The 27,155-nt window shown below is 37.1% G+C and overlaps 1 protein-coding gene and 1 pseudogene across 11 annotated transcripts in view; one reads left to right on the forward strand and one right to left on the reverse strand.

The window, feature by feature from the left end:
* The window catches only part of RICTOR (RPTOR independent companion of MTOR complex 2), a 136,480-nt gene that overhangs the window by 74,527 nt on the left and 34,798 nt on the right, over positions 1-27,155 (reverse strand). For 9 of the 11 annotated variants that reach the window (NM_001438249.1, NM_001438049.1, NM_001438247.1 and 6 more), the window contains one exon: positions 8,593-8,690. In NM_001438249.1, the coding sequence (NP_001425178.1) occupies positions 8,593-8,690 (98 nt within the window). Of the gene's footprint in view, positions 1-4,697; positions 4,721-8,592; positions 8,691-18,044; positions 18,127-27,155 lie in introns of those variants that run through there. The other 2 variants (XM_047417068.1, XM_011514006.4) reach the window with 2 other exon arrangements.
* AIG1P1 (androgen induced 1 pseudogene 1) lies at positions 9,965-10,112 on the forward strand (annotated as a pseudogene).

A 27,155-nucleotide genomic window follows, 5' to 3' on the forward strand; every position in this document is an offset into this window, starting at 1 on the left:
TGAGAATGGACTAATATACTATGAAAGATACAAGAAGAAATAGAAGAACATAGAGTGAGTTAAAACATGGACATCCTGCGAAGCCTCTACTAATAATCAAGTTGCTAATTAATCTTCAACAATTAGGTAGCAGTTTCGTCACTACTATTTTTGCCGTTACTGTTGACATCCTATCTCCTGTATTAATGTAAGTCATTAAAATGTAATTCTGACTACCCTATTATATAGGCTTGTTATTATATATTAAGAACAAATCATTGACTATGTTTAGAAATTGTTAAAGACTTTACAAAATGTTAAGAATTAGCGTTTACAGTCACATAAAATGCTAAATTATTAGACACCACACTTTTCATTGGGTTTGGCACTCCCCATGCCATCCATGCATTTTTTTTAATTGGCTATCAGTCACAACGCCTAGCTAAACCTGACCAAATAACATCAGAGTTCATATACAAAGATGCTAAGAGAGGGTTACTCTCTGCTTTTCAAGACTAGAAGTATTAAGGATGATGTATTTTATCTTAGTCCCATGGAAAGTGTTTATCTGAGAATGAAGACAACCTGAAAGAAAACAGGAATGAAAAATAGAGTGGCAGCATGTAATTGACAGTGTCTCAACCCCTGGGTTGTCTTGTCTGAAATTAGGATCCAACATTTGATATTCCTAATTATGTACACAAAAAATTTCTTTATATTTTAGCTAAGATGAATTAAGTTTGTTGAATTTATTACTTATAAACAAGTTAAACTTTCAGTATCTTAAGTCCACAATTATTTTATGAGTATAACACGTTAAACTTAACATTTTTATAAAAGCAAAACAAATACTATTATACAAATCTTATTTTAAGACGGGTTAAAGATTTTGATAATGTCACTGGTTTGACTATTAAAATCCATGTCCATCATCAGTGAATCAGTTATTTGTTATAATAAATCTACATGACTTTCTTACACAAATACTAAAATATTCAAAAAGGGCTATAAACAATTATATCCTGTCAAAGTTACAACAGAACTGTATATTATCTCCAAGTATTAAAAATTTGTCTGTTTATTAAAATGATCAAGTTTTAAAAAATGTAATGACTAGTTAAAACTAGGTAGTTCTAAATGCTACTCCCATTTTACTTGTATTACTCTGAAGGTTAAATAGTTGTAAATAAGCAAAAGAAACAACAACCCTAATTTTAAAAAATGTTATCTCACATACTAGAATTCCATGGCACAGTCTTTTACATGGCAATTTAGACACAAACACACACACACAGAGCTACAAAAAAAGTAGATTGACATGTATAGAAAAGGAAAGCATGCTATGATATATTGGGATGTGGAAAGCAGCAAACTGCAAGTCAATACACATTTACATACAAAGATATATATACACACATACACATTTATATACACATATCATGCTGTCATTTAAAAAATACCTTTTTGCATATACATCTACAGTCATGCACTGCATAACAACTTTTCAGTCAATGATGGATCACATGTAGAATTGTAGTCCCATAAGATTATAATACTATATTTTTACTGTATCTTTTCTATGTTTAGACACTTACCATTGTGTTAAAACTGCCTACAGTATTCAGTACACTAATATGCTGTACATGTTCATAGCCTAAGAGCAACAGACTATACCACATAGCCTGGATATGTAGTACACTACACCATCAAGGATTGTGTAAGTACACTCTATGATGTTCACAAAATGATGAAATCACCTAACGATGCATTCCTTTACCATACCCTGTGTAATAATGGTAAATAAATTACGTATAACTGTATAATAAATGGCAAATAAACTGAGCATGATAGTAAACACTTCATTTTATTTTGCTCATTTAAATCTCACAATTCCCAAGAAAATACACATACACATTTATAATTATACCAGAAAAGGATACTTTCTAGTGGTTACCTCTGGAGAGTGGTATTTCTGTCAGAACAGGGAGGTGGGTGGGAAGGGTATGAAAGGGAAGAATTTCACTTTTTATCATATATTCTTCTGTACCATTTTAATTTTTTTTACTCAGCTTATAATACCTTAAAGTTTTTAAAAAGCAGAACAAAATAAATATTCTTTTAAAGCTTTTAATATAAATATATGAGATTAAATATAGGAAAAGAGAACTTTTAAGATATAAACGAGCTAAAATATTTTCATCTTTAAAAAGCAGGTCTTTAGATTATGAGCATGTTGTCAGTTATAAAAATAGAATACTAAGATTATACTCATCAGCAGTCTGTTATACACATTACTTTATCCAGTGAGATGATGTCAGAAGGCAAGCATGGGTGTGTGACATTCACATGGTTAAAGGATCACATCACTAGCTCCGTTTCTTTATACCTTAAAAGGAAGTTTAGTTTTGAAGCTGAAGTTCACCCTATACAACATTTTAATGTCACTGTTCTATTAAGATAACTTAATCCTAACAGGCTTATACTTAACAACAAAACAAATGCCAGTAAAAACAAAAACTCATATTTAAAATGCATCATCTTCCCAATCTAATATAATACCATTAATTAAACACATATTATGTGACACGCTTTTGAGTAGAGAGGGATATGAGGGTGGAAAAATAAATACTACGTATTTTTTTGTGTTTGAGAAACTCAGTTTAGTAACAGAGCAACCCACAATAAATAATAAAATAGATAAAATTTAGTAGGCATATCTATCAAATAATGGAAACACAGAAGAGGGTAGCAAACAAACTCCACTAGTCCTGGCATCATAATTATTTTTCTTATTTTCTTATTCTATAGAGCTATTCTCAGAAATTGCTGAGAATTCCTAAATTTTACTCAATAAGCAAATGAATGAATTTACAGGTTTTATAGGAATACTAGTTACCTAAATATTTATAAACCCAGGTCTCTAACAAATGGAATTCAAGACACAGTACAATTAAATTCAGTGTTCTGTGCTGCATATTTGAATAAATTTTATAATAAAATCTACACACACATTTATTTACAGAAATGGTCCTTAATGGGGGGCAATTTTGTCTCCCAGGGAACATTTGGCAATATCTGGAGACATTTCTGCTTGTCACAACTGGTTTGGGGTGGGGGTGCTACTGGCATCTAGTAGGTAGAGGCCGGGGCAGTGCTGAACACCCTAAAATACACACAGCAGCTTCTCAAAACAAATAATCATCTGGCTCAATTTGTTAGTAATGCCAGCATTGAAGAACCCTGATTTACAGTAATAGTTTACCAACTGACAACTCAAACTATTAAGCAGACTCACCATCTTACAGTCAGCTAAAAAACTAGAGAAGTGACAAAAAACAAAAAAACACAAAACACAAAAACCAAACATGAGGTTGAATCAAGGCACTACCTATTACAGAGCACATATTATGTGTCAGGCACTAGACTGAGACCTTGCCTCTACAGAAAGCAAGATTACCTCTGAGTAAAGAAATCTGCCTAAGATTGCCCTGACAGTTAATCACAGTTGGGCTGCAAGTCTCCATCTGTTTCATCTAAAGCTCATGCTTTTCCCAGCACATCACTAAGCAGCCAAAATAGATTTTATGAAGTCCAAAGTTCATGGACTTTATTCATGGGACAGCCCCTAAGATCCTGACTCAGGGCGTACTCACTCTTAGAATAGACAAATTCTAATAAGTTTGGCTATCAGGATTTTAAAATCATGGCAACATAGCAAAGAAAGGGGCTGCTACAAAGCTTGCACCAAGGCCAGAGGGATATATGAAAATCATTTTAAAAAGGATATGGTAAAACAAAAAACAAACAAGACAAAAAGTACAAAAAGTTTAGAGCCTTCATTACAGAGATACACTGCATACTCTACAGTGGTACAACGGAGAAAAGGAAGGAGAGGGGGAACAGAGAAGGGGGGAGAGGGAACTGAGAAAAGAGGGAGGAAGAGAAAGGTGACAAGGAAGGGTGAAGAAAAGAGTGAGAAGATGAAGGGGCGAAAGGAAGAAGTAGAGAAGGGATGAGAAGGAGAAAGGGCAGAAGAGAGTGGGGGAGCACAAATCAAGAAAGAGAGAGGAGGTGGAGCGAATAACTTAGTGAAATACTGTGGGGGAAATTTAGACCAACAGAAAACAAGGAAACTGAAGAGAGAAGAAGAAAGAAAAAAAGGGAAACTAATCCTAATGCAAGAAAACCTGGGACCTAGACAGAAATAAATGAAGAATGAGAAGGGAGAATAAGAGGTGTTCAACAGATTCCTAGAAATGAAGGCCAGAGGTGTTCAACAGATTCCTAGAAATGAAGGCTTTTAAGCCACTCCTGTTCCAAAAAGCTGTGTATCTTCACTGTCCAATGTGGTTAGTAGATACTAGTTGCAAGTGACTATGAGCACTGGAAATGTAGTTAGTCTTAATTGAAGTTTGTTGTTAAGTATAAACCATAAACTTGCTTTCAAAACTTTAGTATGAAAAAATAGTAAAATAACATTTAATAATGTTTTATACTAATTACATCAAATGATGTTTTAGATATACTGGCTTAATAAAAATATTAAAGTTAATGTCATGTTTCTTTTTACTTTTTTAGTATGGCTACCAGGAAATTTAAAATTACACATGTGGCTCACATTATATTTCTATTACGCAACACTATTCTAGATTTTTAAGATTGCTGTAAGACCCATGCTAGTAACAAAGTAAAATAACAGGAATTACTGCCATTCTTACCTCCATCCCCAACTTTCAGAATCCTGTTGGCAAGAGATGTGGAACTATATTATCTAGCTGTGCAAACTTGGTTATAACAGTAATTATAATTGCAAACAGGACACAGACCTCTATTATAATTGTTTTTAACAGTTAAAACTAAGCAAGTGAGGCTTATTTGAATTGAGTGAAGACTGGTGAAATAAAACTATAAAATTTAATAAAAGACAATGAAACTAGAAGATGCATTTTGCAACCTTGGAACAATGTTGCGGTCTTAAAGATTTGACATTATCTCACCACCATGTTGAAGAAAGATGTTTGAAGATTTTCATTACATTCACTCACACTACAAAATACATGCCCATACTTTTGAAAGCCCGTTCTCCAGTACCTAGTCAATGTTTTTAAAAGCTGTTTTTTAAAAAAAAAAACTTTCTCATCCCTCATATAAAATCATTTTATCATCTCTTATATATTAAAAAACAGCCAGAGTATTTTAAAACTTCACTACGGAAAAATAAATGCCTATGTACTTGCTTCTCTAGCTATAGAAAAAAACCTATATTTATTGCACAATACTACATAAAAAATTGTATTACATAGTGACTATATTCTCATCCCCTTCTATTTCTATGAAATAAAAATCAAATCCAAGTCACAGTTCAATTACTTGACAAAGAATATTTGGAAGGATTAAAACAGTACTGCTCAAACTTGAATGTACACATACATTTACTTGAGACTCTTTATTGAACTGTAGATCCTGATTTAGTAGGTCTGGGGTGGGGCTAAAATAGTGCATTTTCAAACAAGCTTCAAGGCGATACCAATACTGATGAACTGTGGATCATATTTTGAGCAGCAAGGGATTAAACATAAAATGATTCTTTCATTAAAAACAATTTATATTTAATATACTAAAAGGTGGGGGGAACGTTATCCCAAAGACCCATTCTGTTTTCTATTTTAGGGTATCTCCTAAAATAGCAGGCATTTTAGTGTTTGCATGAATTGGCTGTCCAGCATTACAAGGCTGAGAAACATACCAATCCACTCATCAAACTCAAGAATTCTGGGCTGCTACTAGAGATCAAGTCAATATTTATTTGGGACCAGGGCCCCCACAATTTGGGCTCTAATTTAGATCCAAATAATGGGGATACAACATCAGGAAAAGAGAAAGTTATAATATAGTTCTTTGGGCTTATGGCTATATTTATGAAATATGGCACACATATGTAGTTACATATGAATACTTACAAGCATACTTCATTTTATTGAGCTTCACAGATACTCTGTTTTTTACACATTGAAGGTTTGTGGCAAACCTGCTTCAAGCAAGTTCATTGGTGCCATTTTTCCAAAAGCATGCGCTCACTTTGCATGTCTGTCACATTTTGGCAATTCTTACAATACTAAAAATGTTTTCATTATTATTATCTGTTAGGGTGATCTGTGATCAGTGATCCTCAATGTAACTATTATCATTGTTATGGGGCACCATGAACTGGACCCATAAAGGACGATGAACTTAATAAATGTGTGTTCCAATTCCTCCACCAACTAGCTGTTCTTGTCTCTCCCTCTCTCCTTGGGCCTATTTCCTGAGACAAAATATTCAGTAAAATTGGGCAAATTAATAACACTACAATGGCCTCTAAGTGTTCAAGTGAAAGGGAGAGTCAACCATCTCTCACTTTAAATCACAAATTAGAGATTGAGCTTAGTGAAGAAAGTCCAGAGAGGCCTCTTGAGACAAACAGGTAGCCAACTTGTGAATGCAAAGGAAAAGTTCTTGAAGAAAATTAACAGTACTACTCCAATGAACACACAAATAATATGAAGGCAGAACAGCCTTACTGCTGATAGAAAGTTTTAGTGGTCCAGATAGAAGATTAAACTGGCTACCAACATTCCTTTAAACTAAAGCCTAACCCAGAGCAAGCAAGACCCCAACTCTCTTAAATGTTATGAAGGCTGAGAGGTGAGGAAGCTGCAGAAGAAAAGTGTGAATGGTTCACGAGGTTAAAGGAAAGAACCCATCTCCGTAACATAAAATGGCAAGGTAAAGCAGTAGGTGCCGATACAGAAGCTGCAACAAGTTATCCAGCAGATACTGCTAAGATCACTGACCAAGGTAGCTACACTAAACAACAGATTTTCAATGCAGATGAAACAATCTTCAACTGGAAGAAGACGCCATCGAGAACTTTCATAACTAGAGAGAAGTCAATGTCTAGCTTCAAAGCTTCAAAAGACAGGCTGACTCATGTCTGGGGCTAATGCAGCTCGTGACTTTAGATTGAACCCAATGATCATTTACTATTCTGAAAATCCTAGAGATCTTAAGAATTATGCTAAAGCTGCTTTGTCTGTGCTTTACAAATGGAACAAGGCCTGGATGACAGCACATCTGTTTACAGCATGGTTTACTACATATTTTAAACATACTGTTGAGAAAACAGTATTTGCTATTGCTCAGGAAAAAAAAGGATTTCTTTCAAATTGTTACGGCTCATTGACAATGCACCTAGTCACCCAAGAGTTGACAGTTACAAGGAGATTAATGTTGTTTTCATGTTTGCTAACACAACATCCATTCTGCAGCCCATGAATCGGGGAATTGGGGAATAATTTTGATTTTCAAGTTTTATTTTAATGAAATACATTTTACAACACTACAGCCACCATAGACAGTGATTCCTCTGATGGATCTGGGCAAAGCAAACTGAAAACCTTCTGGAAAGGATTTATCGTTCCAGATGCCATTAAGAACATTCCTGATTCATGGGAAGAAATCAAAATCTCAACACTACCAGGAATTTGGAAGAAGTTTATTCCAATACTCATGGATGACTTTGAGGCGTTCAAGGTGTCAGTGGAGGGAGTCATTGCAGATGTGGAAGAAATAGCAAGAGAACTAGAATTAGAGGGGGAGCCTGAAGATGCAACTGAATTGTTGCAATCTCATGAAAAAAGCTTTAATGGATAAGGAGTTCCCTCTTATGGAAGAGCAAAAACGGGGTTTCATGAAATCTATTCCTGGTGAAGATGCTATGAACACTGTTGAAATGACAACAAATAATTCAGAATATTACAGAAACTTAGTTGATGCAGCAGTGGCAGGGTTTGAGAGGACTAACTCCAATTTTGAAAGAAAAAATGCTATCAAACAGCACTGCATGCTACGGAGAAATCTTTCGTGACAGGAAGAGTCAATGCGGCAAACTTCATTGCTGTCTTATTTAAAGAAATCGCTACAGTCACCTTAACCTTCAGCAACCACTACTCTGATAAGGCAGCAGCCACTGACATTGAGGCAAGTTCCTCTACCAACAAAAAAAACCCCACAATTTGCTGAAGGCTCAGATGACTGTATTTTTTAATCAATATTTTTAAATTAAGGTACACGCATTTTTTAAAAACATAATGCTATTGCACACTTAATGGACTACACTATAGTATAAACATAACTTTTTATATTCACTGGGAAACCAAAAAACTCGTGACTTGCTTTATTACAACATTGACTTTATTGCGACACTTTATTGCACTGGTTTAGAATCAAACCCACAATATCTCCAATGTATGCCTGTACCATATATTATCAAGTAAAATGAGTAGAAGGCAAAAGAAATACATCCTTATGTGAATAAAAGGTTGAACTGTAAATTTCTCAGTGATTTTATTCTTTTCTGAACCTACCAAATTTTCTGTAACAAAGATATAATTCTTCTATTACACAAATACATTTTTAAGATACACTGGACAAAATCCATGAGAAGCAGGAAAGAAAAGCATTAATGCTGAGTGAATACACAAGAATTTGTATTTAATGATGGTCAAGAAACATTTAGTAAGTGTGGTAAGGAACAAAGAATTTTAGACAATAATAAAAATTCAAGTTACTTACCTTAGTAAAGTTATTCAGATGGCCTAGCTTTCTCATATTTGATACTCCCTGCAATCTGGCCACATTTTGGAGAATCTCTCTTAAGTTATCAGAAGGTTCTAGAAGGAAAGACAAGACAATTTAACACAATTTTATGAGTATTTTCCTGTTCAAACACATAAAACATGCAGTATTAAAACTTCACAACTTTGGCTCTTGGTTTAAAGTCTTACCCTCCACCCCAAATCTGTTAATTTAAATGACTTCAAAGTCTGTGACGAATCCAATTAACTTCACATCTCTACTCCCCTGTACCCATGGTCCAGCTCTGTATCATTGCCTGGAATTACTCAACCACAAAATCTTAAATCTTGCTATTATTTGAATGTGTTCCCCCCAAAGTTGTGTTGGAAACTTAACCACTAATGCAAAAGTGCTGAGAAGTGGGACCTTTAAGAGGTGATTAGGTTATGAAGGCTCTGCCCCCATGAATGGATTGTTAAGGAGGAAATGGGTTAGCATGAGAGTGAGTTTGTTATAAAAGCTTTTGGCTCTCTCTTGCATGCACCACCCCCACCTTGCTTGTGCTCATGCTCTCACAAGCATCTCTCCCCTCACCCCACCTCCAGTGCTCTCTTGACCTTCCAGCATGGGATGACATGGCAAGAAGGCACTTACTAGATGAAGGCCCCTCGACCTCAGACTTCCCTGCCTCCAGAACTGTGAGAAATAAATCTCTGTATTTTATAAATCTCCAGTCTCAGATACTGTGTTACAGCAGCATGAAACAGACTAAGAAAAATCTCAGCATCACAACTTTCACTTGATAGCTGTTTGATAGCATGGCTACAGTGTAGTAAAAGGGACGAAATATACTGTCCCTGTTTGAGTAAACCAAAAAATTAGATAAAATATATAGATGGTCTGTGACTTAGAACGGTTAGACCTAATTTTTCAACTTTACATGGTGCCAAAGCAATACACATTTAGTAGCAACTATACTTCAAGAACCCATAAAACCATTGTTTTTCAATATAGTACTCAATATATTACATGAAATATAATACATCTTATTATAATATAGGCTTTGTGTTAGATAGTCTTGCCCAACTATAGGCTAATGTAAGTGTTCTGAGAATGTTTAAGGTAGGCTAGGCTAAACTAAGATGTTTGGTAGATTAGGTACATTAAATGCATTTTTGACTTAAGACATTTTCAACTTAACAATGCATGTATTGGGACGTAACCTCATCAGTGAGCTGTGGAATTTTAAGCTGCTTAACATATGTGTAACTGGAAACCCCAAAGAAAAGAAAGAATTGAGGGAACAGAGCAATTACTTGAAGAAATGATGGCTAAAGGCCACCCAGCCTTCCCAGGCCTATTGCAAATACGGCTCTTGTCCCCTGCCAGGTGCTGCCAGCGGTGTTTCTGCTGTCTTACTGCTCTATCCTGTGCAACTAGAAGGTCATCAAAATGACCTCGCATCAGACCCATGAAGGGAGTTGGAAATTGCTGCTGTTCATTGTTCTGTGTTGCAGCTAAAGGCCTGGCTGCCCTAGAGCAGCACCTTCTGAACCATTCACTATTACCTGGTAGCTGGGGGACAGATGGAGGTGGGGTGCAGCCAGGTGGTGGACTATTTGGAGGGAGACACAAAACTGCTTCCAAGAAATGACACAGGAACATCTTAACTAACAAAAGCATCAGACAAACTTAACCATGAATGGCCTGAAACCCATTCACCCTCAAGATGCTTTCCTGAGCACCCACTGTGGGATAAACTTGCTGCAACTGAAGGAAACAGTGTATTGTCTAGCAATTTGGAGCTTCATCTGGAAGGACCCAAATCCTCCTCATAAGAGAGAGAAAGTACCTAATAAAGTCTTATTTGCAAAAAAAGAAAAAAGTGATGGATGAAAACTTTCCAAATTTGATGAAAACAATAAACCAATAAAATGCTCAACAAGCGCCAATCACAAGAAACATGAAGAAAACCAGACCTAGGCAGATTATAATCAAATTGCTCAAAACCACTGATAGAGATAATCTTAAAAGTAGCCAGATTAAAAACAAGAAGTTACATAGAGAAAAACAAAAACAAACAAACAAAAAAGGATAACGGCGGATTTCTTATCCAAAACAGGGCAAAACAGAAGACAGTAAAGCAACATCTTTAAAATAATGAAAGAAAAAATGCTTTAAAAAATACTTGCTTTACAGAAACAAGCCAAGAAAACTAGACCTAGGCAGATTATAATCAAATTGCTCAAAACCACTGACAGAGAAAATCTTACAAGTAACCAGATTGAAAAAAAAGAAGTTACATAGAGCAAAGCAAAAAAAAAAGATAACAACGGATTTCTTGTCCAAAACAGAAGACAATGAAGCAACATCTTTAAAGTAATGAAACAAATGCTTTAAAAATATGCTTCACAAAAACAAGCCATGGGCCAGATATGGCCTTATAGGCAGTAGTTTGCCACCTCCGGAATAGAGTGTCAATTTCTTCAGATGGCTATAAACTATTAAAATCTTCACCATCCTATTTGTTTTAAATAAAAACAAAAGCACAATTTTTAAAATACATTACCAAGTTTTTGATATTTTAGTTTAAGAGCCATTATGACTTCCTTTGAGACTTTTATCTGTTAACACCAATGCAAGGAACTGTTTTGAATTAGTGTTTTCCTCATCAAATGAAACGGTTTGCACTGTCCTGCTTTAAATTTAGCTTGCGTCTGCCTACCTTACTCCATTCTGTTATACTGGGTGTTGTCTATGACAACAAATGTGGTGTCAAAGCACTAAGTACACTACTTAGCTATTTCCAATTGCTTTGAAGTTGCTACATGCTGAGATCAATCATTGGATTTTCATGACAGATGAAATATTTTTAATGTAAATAAAATTCAATCTTAAGTGATTTAGTGTGGCAGTCCCCAACCTTTTGGACACCAGGGACAGGTTCTGTGGAAAACAATTTTTCCATGGACCCGGGGTGGGGATGGTTTTGGGATGAAACTGTTTCACCTCAAATCATCAGGCATTAGATTCTCATAAGGAGTGCGCAACCTAGATCCCTCGCATGTGCAGTTCACAATAGGGTTTGTGCTCCTATTAATAATCTAATGCTGCTGCTGATCTAACAGGAGGTGGAGCTCCGGCAGTAACGCTCACTCCCCTGCTGCTCACTGCCTGCTGTGCAGCCCGGTTCCTAGCAAACCACAGACCTGTACCAGTCCAGGCTCAGGGGCTAGAGACTTCTGGTTTAGCGTATGTCTTTATACTTAGAGATTTTGGGGAGTTATTTTGAAAGTTGAATGATCCATCACTGAGTGAGACTGGATATATTAAAAAGAATTACAAGGGGCCATGAATAGGTCACTGTATTTAGTAATATCTTTTCACTACTATAAATTGTATCTGTTTGAAAAGACTATAGGAGAATAATTATAAGCAAGTCAATGGCATTAAGATGATTTAACTATATTTGAGAAGTTCATAAAAATTTTATAACAACCCTCTAGATAATTTAGGACCTATGGTAGTTTGCAAAGTCAGGGTTGAGGTTCATAGAAGCTAGTGTGAAACTCTTCTAATGGAAATGTATAATCTAAACATTTTACTTCAGTTTATCATTAGCTTGTCAGGCACCAAACAGATTAACTCGTGACAATATAGTTACTGCTATCTAATGATCTAACAGGACTAATAGTTACGATGATTAGTCTGAAAAGATAGATTCCTTACAAAGGTTTGCAAATTTTTAAATACTGCCTATTTTCTGGGTACAAACTGATTGCAGACATTTTTTTAAAACCACAATCTTGTTACAAAGCAAAATCTCATATCTAAGTGTATTCATTCAACAAATATTAACTGAATGGCTATTATGATCAGGTACTGTTTTAAGTACTGGAAATATAGCAATAAACAAGACAACTCCCTCTCTAATGTATCTAACATAGAAGTGGAAGAAAACTGATTACAACAACAACAAACTGCATGCACATAATTTAAAAACTGACAGGTGATGATAACTCAACAATGAGTCAAATGTTTGCCTAATGAAGATGTTATCCTTCTTAACCCAAACCAAAATGAATCAGCCTTTCTCCCTCCTTCTCCTCCTCAAAGCTTTCTCCTTTATATAATTACCAAGAACCTCCACCTCCCAGACAGTATTTGACTTCCAGATCAATTAAAACAGTATTAGGGCCATTTTAGACACCAAACTACCATCTAACATTCATGTGGTACAATGCTGCTGAGGAACTTTTTAACTTGAAATAACAGGTTAAAGTTTCCCTGGTAATAAAATGAGAAATCTCTGCTTTCTTCTTTACCTAGACCAGGGCTAGACCAGGGACTGAAAAACATTTTCTGTAACTATTTTGACTTTGCAGGCCATAAGTCTCCAATGCAGCTATGCAACTCTAATGTTTTAGATCAGAAAGCAAGTGCAGAAAATGGACTTTTCATGTGTATTAAGTCAGTTCAGTATACTATAAAACTAAATAATGGAGACCGAATGGCTTATTAAGCAACAGAAGTTTATATCTCATAGTTCTGCAGGCTGCAAGTCCAAGATCAGGGTGACAGCATGGTCAGGTCCTGGTTCCTCTTTCAGGTCGCAGACTGCCAATTTCTCACTGTCTCCTCACATGGTGGGGAAATGGGGCTAGAGAACTCCCTGGGGTCCCTTTTTATAAGGGCACTAATTCCACTTGTGAGGGCTTCACCCTTATGACCTAATTACCTCCCAGAGGCCCACCTCCTAATACCAATACGTTACGGGTTAGGATTTTGACATATTAATTTTTGAATGACACAAACATTCAGTTCATTGCACTGTTCCAATAAAACAAACTTGGCTCTCGAGCTGCAGTCTGTCAACCCTTAGAGTGTCACCACTTAAAGTAGTGAGCAAGCTGAGATTGACATGATTTTTATATGGGGGATAGGGTGACTAGATATAGAAATAGCAAAAAGAAACTTAAAGAGAGGTTTACCTGTCTCTATTTCTTCCTACTCTGTGTTTCCAATTTTCCTTCTCTAAAACTGTCTACGGATAACAGCACTACGTGAAAAGTATCAGGTCAGAAATAAGATGATATTCTCTGAAGCCTTAAAGTTTAGAAAACCATGGCTGTATGAGAGAAAAAAGGAAAAAATAACCAGACACAGTTGCTCACACCTGTAGTCCCATCTACTCGGGAGGCTGAGGTGGGAGGACTGCTTGAGCCCAGGAGGTTAAGGCTGCAGTGGGCAGTGATCATGTCACTTGTACTCCAGCTTGGGCAACAGACAGTGCAAGACCCTGTCTCAAAAACAAAACAAAACAAAACAAAAGGAAAAAATAAATGTGGGTAGCCTGCTATGATAGGCAACTACTCAAATGGAAGGAAGCAAAATACAAAAGAACTACTAGAATTACAGTGGCTCTTTTCATCATATTGTGTAGACTGTAAATACTACACGTATTCCTGATGAATCTCTCTGGAAGTAATGCAGTAACTGCAGCAATTCCAAATATCCAGTGATTTAATATATTCAATTGTAGAGCTGAATACAATTGATTTCAACCATCTTTAATTTGATCTGTCTTCTCCTGTCCTTCCATCGAGGAGTTGCCTATTCTGCTTGTGACACTGTAGATACTCTGTGGTATTGTTTTTAATAGATGAGTTAAAAATTTAATGGATGGCCAGGTGCGGTGGCTCACACCTGTAATCCTAGCACTTTGGGAGGCCGAGGTGGGTGGATCACCTGAGGTCAGGAGTTTGAGACCAGCCTGACCAATATGGAGAAACCCCGTCTCTCCTAACAATACAAAATAAGCTGGGCGTGGTCACGCATGCCTGTTAATCCCAGCTACTCAGGAGGCTGAGGCAGGAGAATCACTTGAACCCGGGAAACGGAGGTTGTGGTGAGCCGAGATCGCACCATTGCACTCCAGCCTGGGCAACAAGAGCAAAACCCCATCTCAAAAAAATAAAAAATAATGTATTACTCTCACATACTAATTACTGAGCATTATTAAGAAAAACAAAATGCAGATTGAGAGAGAAACCAAAATGTCAAGAGATTTATTTTCTTGACATTACACTGCCTTATATGTTTTTGGAAGTGAGGACTGTATAAAACTTTAAGTATAGCTGAAAAGGGATGGGGTTAACACTTAATTACCCCCAAGGAGATAATACATGGCAATTCAAGGATTCTTGCAATTAGGAAAGTATATACTTCAAAAATATTTTCAGAGAAGTTAATTTTAGGTGGTAAAAATTACTGATGATTTATTTTTATATCTTGGACTATATTTTACTTCTCTAAATGAGTATAAAAAACATGCACAAAATGAGAGGAACTGAAAAAAAATGAAGACTTCCTGGCTGTGACTAGATTAAAATAATTAATCTCTCTACATTGCTTTTATAAGTAAAAATGGAAAAAGCAGTTTAAAATAAATATAATAAATGTAAGTGTAATGTGTTTTATATGTGCTTCATTATCATGTATTGCATGGCACGTATATAGTATTCACCAGAGTATTATATATTAATGTCACCATAAGTTACACATATTTATGTTAAAGTTTATTTTTTAGAGTACTTCTGATGTTACATTATTTTGTAGACATTTTGAAAAATAAAAAAGCCAAAGAAAATGTTAAAAAATTACTAACACTTCCATCCCGCAGAAGCATTTTTACATATCAGTGTTAAATATTTTTCTAAGTATACAGAACAATAGAAAGCAGTCTTAATTAGTATAAAGTTAATTATCTGACATAAGTATCTAATCCTCTGCTCATCAAAAGACTATTAAGAAAATGAAAAGACAATCCACAAAATGGGTAAAAAACATTCACAGCACAAACATCAGACAAGATTTTAATAACCAATATATGACTATCATCTACAAATCAACAATAAAATAACCCATGTAAAAACAGGTAAAAGATTTAAATAGATGTGAAAGCAAAAGAGGATAAGAGGCCAAAAAGTATGAGAAAAGGTGCCTAACATCATTAATTAACAGGAAAATGAAAATTAAAACCACAGAAGTACCATTACACACTTATAAGAATAGCTAAAATCAAGAAGAATGACAACATCAAATGTTGGAGAGGCCATGGAGCAACTGGAATTCTTTTTTTTTTTTTTTTTTTTTTTTTGAGACGGAGTCTCGCTCTGTCGCCCAGGCTGGAGTGCAGTGGCGGGATCTCGGCTCACTGCAAGCTCCGCCTCACGGGTTCACGCCATTCTCCTGCCTCAGCCTCCCAAGTAGCTGGGACTACAGGTGCCCGCCACTACGCCCGGCTAATTTTTTGTATTTTTAGTAGAGACGGGGTTTCACCGTTTTAGCCGGGATGGTCTCGATCTCCTGACCTCGTGATCCGCCCGCCTCGGCCTCCCAAAGTGCTGGGATTACAGGCGTGAGCCACCGCGCCCGGCCTGGAATTCTTACACACTGTTGGAGGAGCATGAAATATTACAACCACTTTAAAGAACTGTTGGCAACATACATCTGTCAATATTATGATTCTGTAATTTCACTCTCAGTTAGAAATACATGCCCACAAATATACTTGTACAAGAATATTTATAGCAGCCTTATTCATAACAGCCCCAAAGTGGAAACAACCCAAATGTCCATCAACAGATGGATAAACAAATTGTAGTATATCTACATATTGGAATATTAATCAAAAATCAAAAGAACAGAGCTGTGTGCAGTGGCTCGTGCCTGTAATCCCAGCAGCTAGGGAGGCTGAGGCAGGAGGATCCCTTGAGCCCAGGTGTTTGAGGCTGCAGTGAGCTACGAATGTGCCACTGCACTCCAGCTCGGGTGCCAGAGCAAGACCCAGTCTCTTAAAACCAAAACAATATTAATAAGAAAAAAACAAACTACTTATACATACAACATAGATGAATTTCAAAAATGTTAAGAAAAAGAAGCCAGACACAAGAGTATATATTGTATCATTCTATTTGTATGCAATGCAAATATAAGCAGAAGTAATCTATGATGATAGAAATCAGATAGTGATTGCTGGAAGATAAAGTAACCAATTGGAAACAGGCAAGGGGGTTTAGGGAAGGGGATAAAAATATGTTGTATCTTGTTTGGAAGTAGTGGATAATTATTGAATGACACTTAAATGCATACTTAAAATATGTACATTTTATTTTGTGTTAATTACAGCTCAACAAAGATGCATTTAAGTCACTAATCATAAAACACTTTACATATTTAAACACACACATATACAAAGATACATAATACATACACCACCAAGAGAAAACTAACATATAAACCATTATTCACTAATTATTCATTTATTTATTTCTTGGCTCAATTCTCTGTATGTGCACATGTACACACACATATGTATATATGTGTGTAAACATTAATATAAAATTGGCTTCAATATATGCTGCTTTATAACTTGCTGCAATAAACTATATTGTTATCTTTACCTGTCAATAAATAACACAACACAAAACTGATTTTTAAACAAATCTGAATCCAAGTACCTATAGTAAATTAATGACCAAAAACTGATGGCATGCACATGCTACTTGGGAGTAATGGAAAGGAAAAAAAACCTTTGGAATAAAAAAGAACTGAATTCAAGTCTAGCTCATTCACCCCTAAACCATGTAGCCTTGGCTAAATCACTTAACTTTATGAGCATCCATTTTCTCTACGTAAAGTGGAAATATTTGCCTACTTTAAAAATGCTTTTGCAAAATGTGAGATATAACTTCCTTATTAGCACAGTGCCTAGCCCATAACAGCTACTCAATAAATAATGACTATAATTAAAAGTTATTTGTTTAGCATAACCAATTTTCACAGAGTAATCATGTGAAATTTATACAGCTGGCCCAGGCAAGTGTTTAACACATTAGTCTATTTAAATTAACTTTTATTATATGAGGGTTTTAGTAGTACATTACTTTCATGATCCAAGATTAATTCGTTTTTAAAGTAGAAACAATAATGACCTTCCAGAGCTATGTTAATGATCACATTAGATATTCCATATAGAAATATTCAAACCATAAAGTGCTACACAAATACTAGAAATTATGACCCTCTTCCTCTTAGTGTGAATTACCTGAAATCATTTAATATGCAGGTAGAATTTGTTTTGCTTATATAACATATGACGTACTTTTTGATACATAATTCTATCTAAAACTGTTATTAATGAAACCTCAAACAAATCCTTAAAAAAACTTTTTTCAGTCATGCAAGAGTAGTAAATTATAATAAATTAAAGGAGTCAGTACAAATTTAATAAAGCCAAATATGCTGATAACTCAACAGGCCACTATGTTGTCATAAGTATATTCTCAGAATATATTCCCCAACATCTTACGGTCACTTCAAGGATCCCTCAATTCTTATTCACTATCCCATCACTTACCTAGCCTTTAATTTCCCATCACTCTTACCTAAACTCTCAGTAGTTTGGATGAGATGTCATTTACTCTAGAGCGTTATCTGTGTAGCTCTGTAATTTCTAATATTTTCACTCTAAAACAGGACAGTAAAAAAACAGGTGAACAGTTATATAACATGAACCAAGATTCTATGAAGAGTTTTAAGCTTTATGAGGACAAGGACATCTTGCTTACAATTATCTTCAAATGCCTACCACAGTCTCTGCCACACAGTAGGCTTTCAAGAATTATTTTTCTATATTAAATAATAAATATGTGAGTAAACATTTTTTAAGACCAGGTTGTTGTTGCTAACAGTACTCAGGAGGAGGAGGGTCCAACCAACATTTACTAAGCATGAAGTATATGTCTGGTCATGTACCAATTCCAGTAAGTATTGCTAATTATCCCTTCCAATTGCCCTGTGAAGCAAAACACCAAGAGGACAGAGAAGAAGGAAAAAGAAACAACTACAAAAGGAGTATGTGAAAGGAGGGTGATATGCATATAACGGCTATCAGGCAGCATGAACCTAACAAAGCTTTAGTTCCTGTCATTATCTCTTCTTCTAGGCTTCATACAAGGTTTTTCACACTCATGAGCTCCTTCTAATTAAAATCACTTATAAAATGTTTTCTTGAAGGGCTGGAGGCTGACTAGAATCTTGAAGCAAATGTCTAAATATATTTCCATTTATCATCTATAACTGTTCAGAAACAATGATTATTACAGTTAATGACTGACCAGGTTTGTTGATAACCGCCTTAAAGAGGCACTGAAAAGAAAAGGCAGTTAAGCAAACTCTGAGTAATTACTGGTCCTTTAAATTCTTTTCCACCTTAAGGGAAAATTTATCCTTAAAAGTTATCTTTGACATTTTCCTCTCCCTGATCTCTCACCTTCAACTGGCCAGCAAAGTGCTATTTACTCCTCTCTAAAGTTTCTGACATCTTTTCCTTTTTTTAAATTCTATCAACCACAGCCACATTTCAATTGTGCTCTTCTAACTCATACCTAAATTATGGCAAAAGCTGCACAATGAATTAATTCCCTGTGCTTATATTGCCTCTCTTTCTTCTAATCCAATCTCCAAGCCACCATGAGATTAACTGTACAAATCTAACTTTTATCATTTTATCTACCTTCCTGAAAATTTCAAAGAGAAACTGGGACTGGGAGTAGAGCTGAACAATGCATTCTATGATGTATTTGTGAATACACATAAACAAATACTACAATATATCCAACTAGAAAAGTTGGATACATATGCGACTTCAACAGTAGAACAAAATTAAACAATTACACAAATCTGATATGGAATTATGTCTTTAATATCATCTATGATTATTGTGAGCAGATATGACTAAAAGCATACGAAGATTACTGTAGTTAGCATTACTTTTGCAAAAGCCAGAAGCAAAACTATCTCCACTAGCGAAGACACTGGGAGTCCATCTTCTCACCTTTATCCACAGGTACAAAAGGTGAGAAAAGCATTGCTTCAAACAATCTAACATTTCCTGAAATTCTAACAATTATTAATTTCAAAAAGTTATATAATTTAGTAGAGAAAGGCTGTATCCCAAGGATAGCATCTTCTGAGGGCCTCTAGTTTATGATAAAATAACTATGCAGAGGAAGTCAAAATTTGCCAAGAGAACCTATTCCATCTTTGGATAGAAAAATAGAACATTTTTTCTTTACTGATGCCAAAATCTGCCCCTTTGTAATTTTTGTCTATTTGTTCTGGTGTAACCATCTGGAATGCAGAGAACAAGTATTATCTTCCGTTTACATACTTGAAATAACCATGTTTCCTCTCAAGCAACTGAAGCACATAATAATCTTTTGATCATTGGTATATTTTAAATATAAATACAATGGCAAAAATAGTAAAGAAAAACCTGTCAATCAATTACAATGGCAAGTCAATCAGTTTAACTGGATTATAATGTTCCTAAAATGTTAAGTTTATCATACTAAAAACTGAACATGGACTTCATTTCTGGTTCCACACAACAGGAGCCTGGAAGTCATCACATCATGCTAACAACAAGTAAAAACCTGAACAAACTGAAAAATCAACAACTCTTCTTGAATTTGTAAGAGAACTGAGGACACAGGGCAAGCCACTACCCCCAAGATCATAAAGACAGACACAAGAATACAGGGAGTCACACATTAGAAAAGAGGTTCATGAGCAGAAACTGCTGGGAGAACCAGTGCCTAGGTAGGAAAACTGAAGTGCAATTAACCAACTGAATGTTTCATAGCTGTTTCAGAAAAACGACAAACCATGAAGCACTTCTTGAGAGGCAATGATACGGACAGAGACAGAGCAACATGGACAGCAAGATGGCACTAGGTCCCTTTAACCTGGCATGCCGTTTATTTCTCAACCCAACTTGGGGAACAACTTTGTCATTCTTTAGAAGTCTAGCTCAGACTAGATTAGTAAAGGTTTTTCCTAACCTACAAGCCCCCTTCTCTATACTCATGATACATTCTTCATACTAACATTACAGCACATATAACACATATATCTGATTTGTCAGGGTTCCAATTTACAGTTGGTGTACCACTGTAATTATTAATACCATCTATTTTCACTTCCCAAAGTATCCCAGGTTGTATTATAAATAACAACTATAAATAATATGATCGCCTTAAGTGTAAACTTCAACTGCAGTGTCTGTTTTTCTTAGGACTACATCTGCTCCATTATCTCCTTCCCCCAGAGACTAGAATTGTGTTGTTGGCTTCTTGTACCAGTGTCCTACTCTTTTTTTTTTTTGGGAACAGACTCTTGCTCTGTTGCCCAGGCTGGAGCGCTGGAGTGCAATGGTGGGATCTCAGCTCACTGCAACCTCTGCCTCCTGGGTTCAAGCAATTCTCCTGCTTCGGCCTCCTGAGTAGCTGGGATTACAGGTGTGTGCCACCACGCCTGGCTAATTTTTGTATTTTTAGTAAAGACAGGGTTTCACCATGTTGGTCAGGCTAGTCTCGAACTCCTGACCTCCTGATCCACCCGTCTTGGCCTCCCAAAGTGCTGGGATTACAGGCATAAAACACTGCACCTGGCCCACCAGTGTCCTACTTTTATAATAATGATGGCAGAAAGAGTTATGGCAATTTCTGCTGATTTGTAACATATTAAAATTGTCTTCCCTAAAGATGGGAAAAAGAGACACCGGGGACTAGTAGTCAGGGGAGGAGGAAAGAGGACTGAGCACTGAAAAGCAACCTATTGGGTACCATGCACACTACCTCGGTAATGGGATCATTTGTACACTGAACCTCAGCAACATGCAACTTAACCATATAACAAACCTGCACATGTACCACCGAAACTAAAGGTTGAAAAACAAACAAATAACTATATGTTTTTAACAATAAATAAATAAATTTTTCTCTCAAGGACTCTGGGATTCAGATCTATTTTCCTCCCCCTTCAATTCTGAATTATAAACTTACTTCATTTTATACTTTCCTCTTTCTGTGTACACAAAAACATCTGCCTTTCTTTAATTCCAAACAATTGCTCACTTTGAATGATTTCAAGGAGAAAAGGTTATAATTAACGGAAGAAAAAAAAGTCCTTGCTGACAGTTTATCATTCTGTACCTTTGGATAAGTTAAACAAGTGACATCTACCAGGCCACTTCTGCGATTGTCTTAAAATTCTATTAAAAGCCATGTCTTTAATTGGTTTATTGTCAGCATATTATTATATACTGTAACTGTCAAATATAGATGAGGATCAATCTAGGTATAGAACACTAACAGAAAGTGAGCTAGATGTAGTTAATAATCCATTTGAACAGAGCATCTATTAAAAGTTGTATAATTTTGGGGGTGGAGCCAAGATGGCCGAATAGGAATGGCTCCAGTCTACAGCTCCCAGCATGAGCAATGCAGAAGATGGGTGATTTCTGCATTTCCAACTGAGGTAACGGGTTCATCTCACTGGGGAGTGCCGGACAGCGGATGCAGGACAGTGGGTGCAGCGCACCGTGCATGAGCCAAAGCAGGGCGAGGCATCTCCTCACCCGGGAAGTGCAAGGGGTCAGGGAATTCCCTTTCCTAGTCAAAGAAAGGGGTGACAGATGGCACCTGGAAAATCGGGTCACTCACACCCTAATACTGCGCTGTTCCAATGGGCTTAACAAACGGCACACCAGGAGATTATATCCCACACCTGGCTCAGCGGGTCCTACGCCCACAGAGCCTCACTCATTGCTAGCACAGCAGTCTGAGATCAAACTGCAAGGCAGCAGCGAGGCTGGGGGAGGGGCGCCCGCCATTGCTGAGGCTTGAGGAGGTAAACAAAGCAGCCCAGAAGCTCGAACTGGGTGGAGCCCACCGCAGCTCAAGGAGGCCTGCCTGCCTCTGTAGGCTCCACCTCTGGGGGCAGGGCACAGACAAACAAAAGGCAGCAGTAACCTCTGCAGACTTAAATGTCCCTATCTGACAGCTTTGAAGAGAGCAGTGGTTCTCCCAGCACGCAGCTGGAGATCTGAGAACGGGCAGACTGCCTCCTCAAGTGGGTCCCTGACCCCTGACCCCTGAGCAGCCTAACTGGGAGGCACCCTCCAGCAGGGGCACACTGACACCTCACACGGCCAGGTACCCCTCTGAGACAAAACTTCCAGAGGAACAATCAGGCAGCAGCATTTGTGGTTCACCAATATCCACTGTTCTGCAGCCACCACTGCTGATACCCAGGCAAACAGGGTCTGGAGTGGACCTCGGGCGAACTCCAACAGACCTGCAGCTGAGGGTCCTGACTGTTAGAAGGAAAACTAACAAACAGAAAGGACATCCACACCAAAAACCCATCTGTACGTCACCATCATCAAAGACCTAAGGTAGATAAAACCACAAAGATGGGGAAAAAACAGAGCAGAAAAGCTGAAAATTCTAAATATCAGAGCACCTCTCACCCTCCAAAGTAACACAGCTCCTCACCAGCAATGGAACAAAGCTGGACGGAGAATGACTTTGACGAGTTGAGAGAAGAAGGCTTCAGAAGATCAAACTACTCCGAGCTAAAAGAGGAAGTTCGAACCAATGGCAAAGAAGTTAAAAACCTTGAAAAAAAATTAGACGAATGGCTAACTAGAATAACCAAAGCAGAGAAGTCCTTAAAGGACCCGATGGAGCTGAAAACCACGGCACGAGAACGTGACGAAGGCACAAGCCTCAGTAGCCGATTCGATCAACTGGAAGAAAGGGTATCAGCGATAGAAGATGAAATGAATGAAATGAAGCGAGAAGAGAAGTTTAGAGAAAAAATAAAAAGAAACAAACAAAGCCTCCAAGAAATATGGGACTATGTAAAAAGACCAAATCTACGTCTGATTGTTGTACCTGAAAGTGACGGGGAGAATGGAACCAAGTTGGAAAACACTCTGCAGGATATTATCCAGGAGAACTTCCCCAATCTAGCAAGGCAGGCCAACATTCAGATTCAGGAAACACACAGAACGCCACAAAGATACTCCTCGAGAAGAGCAACTCCAAGACACGTAACTGTCAGATTCACCAAAGTTGAAATGAAGGAAAAAATATTAAGGGAAGCCAGAGAGAAAGGTCGGGTTACCCACAAAGGGAAGCCCATCAGACTAACAGCGGATCTCTCCGCAGAAACTCAACAAGCCAGAAGAGAGTGGGGCCGAATATTCAACATTCTAAAAGAAAAGAATATTCAACCCAGAATTTCATATCCAGCCAAACTAAGCTTCATAAGTGAAGGAGAAATAAAATACTTTACAGACAAGCAAATGCTGAGAGATTTTGTCACCACCAGGCCTGCCCTAAAAGAGCTCCTGAAGGAAGCACTAAACATGAAAAGGAACAACGGGTACCAGCCACTGCAAAAACATGCCAAATTGTAAAGACCATCAGGGCTAGGAAGAAACTGCATCAACTAATGAGCAAAATAACCAGCTAACATCATAATGACAGTATCAAATTCACACATAACAATATTAACCTTAAATGTAAATAGGCTAAATGCTCCAATTAAAAGACACAGACTGGCAAATTGGATAAAGTATCAAGACCCATCAGTGTGCTGTATTCAGGAAACCCATCTCACGTGCAGAGACACACATAGGCTCAAAATAAAGGGATGGAGGAAGATCTACCAAGCAAATGGAAAACAAAAAAAGGCAGGGGTTGCAATCCTAGTCTCTGATAAAACAGACTTTAAACCAGCAAAGATCAAAAGAGACAAAGAAGGCCATTACATAATGGTAAAGGCATAAATTCAACAAGAAGAGCTAAGTATCCTAAATATATATGCACCCAATACAGGAGCACCCAGATTCATAAAGCAAGTCCTTGGAGACCTACAAAGAGACTTAGACTCCCACACAATAATAATGGGAGACTTTAGCACCCCACTGTCAACATTAGACAGATCAACGAGACAGAAAGTTAACAAGGATACCCAGGAATTGAACTCAGCTCTGCACCAAGCAGTCCTAATAGACATCTACAGAACTCTCCACCCCAAATCAACAGAATATACATTCTTTTCAGCACCACACCACACCTACTCCAAAACTGACCATATAGTTGGAAGTAAAGCACTCCTCAGGAAATGTAAAAGGACAGAAATTATAACAAACTGTCTCTCAGACCACAGTGCAATCAAACTAGAACTCAGGATTAAGAAACTCACTCAAAACCACTCAACTACATGGAAACTAAACAACCTGCTCCTGAATGACTACTGGGTACATAACGAAATGAAGGCAGAAATAAAGACGTTCTTTGAAACCAACGAGAACAAAGACACAACATACCAGAATCTCTGGGACACATTCAAAGCAGTGTGTAGAGGGAAATTTATAGCACTAAATGCCCACAAGAGAAAGCAGGAAAGATCCAAAATTGACACCCTAACATCACAATTAAAAGAACTAGAGAAGCAAGAGCAAACACATTCAAAAGCTAGCAGAAGGCAAGAAATAACTAAGATCAGAGCAGAACTGAAGGAAATAGAGACACAAAAAACCCTTCAAAAAATCAATGAATCCAGGAGCTGGTTTTTTGAAAAGATCAACAAAATTGATAGAACGCTAGCAAGACTAATAAAGAAGAAAAGAGAGAAGAATCAAATAGACGCAATAAAAAATGACAAAGGGGGTATCACCACCAATCCCACAGACATACAAACTACGATCAGAGAATACTATAAACACCTCTATGCAAATAAACTAGAAAATCTAGAAGAAATGGATAAATTTCTCGACACATACACCCTCCCAAGACTAAACCAGGAAGAAGTTGAATCCCTGAATACACCAATAACAGGCTTCTGAAATTGAGGCAGTAATTAGTAGCTTACCAACCAAAAAAAGTCCAGGACCAGATGGATTCACAGCCAAGTTCTACCAGAAGTACAAGGAGGAGCTAGTATCATTCCTTCTGAAACTATTCCAATCAATAGAAAAAGAGGGAATCCTCCCTAACTCATTTTATGAGGCCAGCATCATCCTGATACCAAAGCCTGGCAGAGACACAACCAAAAAGGAGAATTTTAGACCAATATCCCTGATGAACATTGATGCAAAAATTCTCAATAAAATACTGGCAAAACAAATCCAGCAGCACATCAAAAAGCTTATCCACCATGATCAAGTGGGCTTCATCCCTGGGATGCAAGGCTGGTTCAACATATGCAAATCAATAAACGTAATCCAGCATATAAACAGAACCAAAGACAAAAACCACATGATTATCTCAATAGATGCAGAAAAGGTCTTTGACAAAATTCAACAGTCCTTCATGCTAAAAACTCTCAATAAGTTAGGTGTTGATGGGACGTATCTCAAAATAATAAGAGCTATTTATGACAAACCCACAGCCAATATCATACTGAATGGACAAAAACTGGAAGCATTCCCTTTCAAAAATGGCACAAGACAGGGATGCCCTCTCTCACCACTCCTATTCAACATAGTGTTGGAAGTTCTGGCCAGGGCAATCAGGCAGGAGAAAGAAATAAAGGGTATTCAATTAGGAAAAGAGGAAGTCAAACTGTCCCTGTTTGCAGATGATATGATTGTATATTTAGAAAACCCCATTGTCTCAGCCCAAAATCTCCTTAAGCTGATAAGTAACTTCAGCAAAGTCTCAGGATACAAAATCAATGTGCAAAAATCACAAGCATTCTTATACACCAATAACAGACAGACAGCCAAATCATGAGTGAACTCCCATTCACAATTGCTTCAAAGAGAATAAAATACCTAGAAATCCAACTTACAAGGGATGTGAAGGACCTCTTCAAGGAGAACTACAAACCACTGCTCAATGAAATAAAAGAGGATACAAACAAATGGAAGAACATTCCATGCTCACGGGTAGGAAGAATCAATATCGTGAAAATGGCCATACTGCCCAAGGTAATTTATAGATTCAATGCCATCCCCATCAAGCTACCAATGACTTTCTTCACAGAATTGGAAAAAACTACTTTAAAGTTCATATGGAACCAAAAAAGAGCCCGCATTGCCAGGTCAACCCTAAGCCAAAAGAACAAAGCTGGAGACATCATGCTACCTGACTGCAAACTATACTACAAGGCTACAGTAACCAAAACAGCATGGTACTGGTACCAAACAGAGATATAGACCAATGGAACAGAACAGAGCCCGCAGAAATAATGCCACATATCTACAATTATCTGATCTTTGACAAACCTGACAAAAACAAGAAATGGGGAAAGGATTCCCTATTTAATAAATGGTGCTGGGAAAACTGGCTAGCCATATGTAGAAAGCTGAAACTGGATCCCTTCCTTACACCTTATACAAAAATTAATTCAACATGGATTAAAGACTTAAATGTTAGACCTAAAACCATAAAAACCCTAGAAGAAAACCTAGGCAATACCATTCAGGACATAGGCATGGGCAAAGACTTCATGTCTAAAACACCAAAAGCAATGGCAACAAAAGCCAAAATTGACAAATGGGATCTAATTAAACTAAAGAGCTTCTGCACAGCAAAAGAAACTACCATCAGAGTGAACAGGTAACCTACAGAATAGGAGAAAATTTTTGCAACCTACTCATCTGACAAAGGGCTAATATCCAGAATCTACAATGA

This window comes from Homo sapiens, chromosome 5 (genome assembly GCF_000001405.40).
Source record: "Homo sapiens chromosome 5, GRCh38.p14 Primary Assembly".
Lineage (NCBI taxonomy): Eukaryota > Metazoa > Chordata > Mammalia > Primates > Hominidae > Homo > Homo sapiens.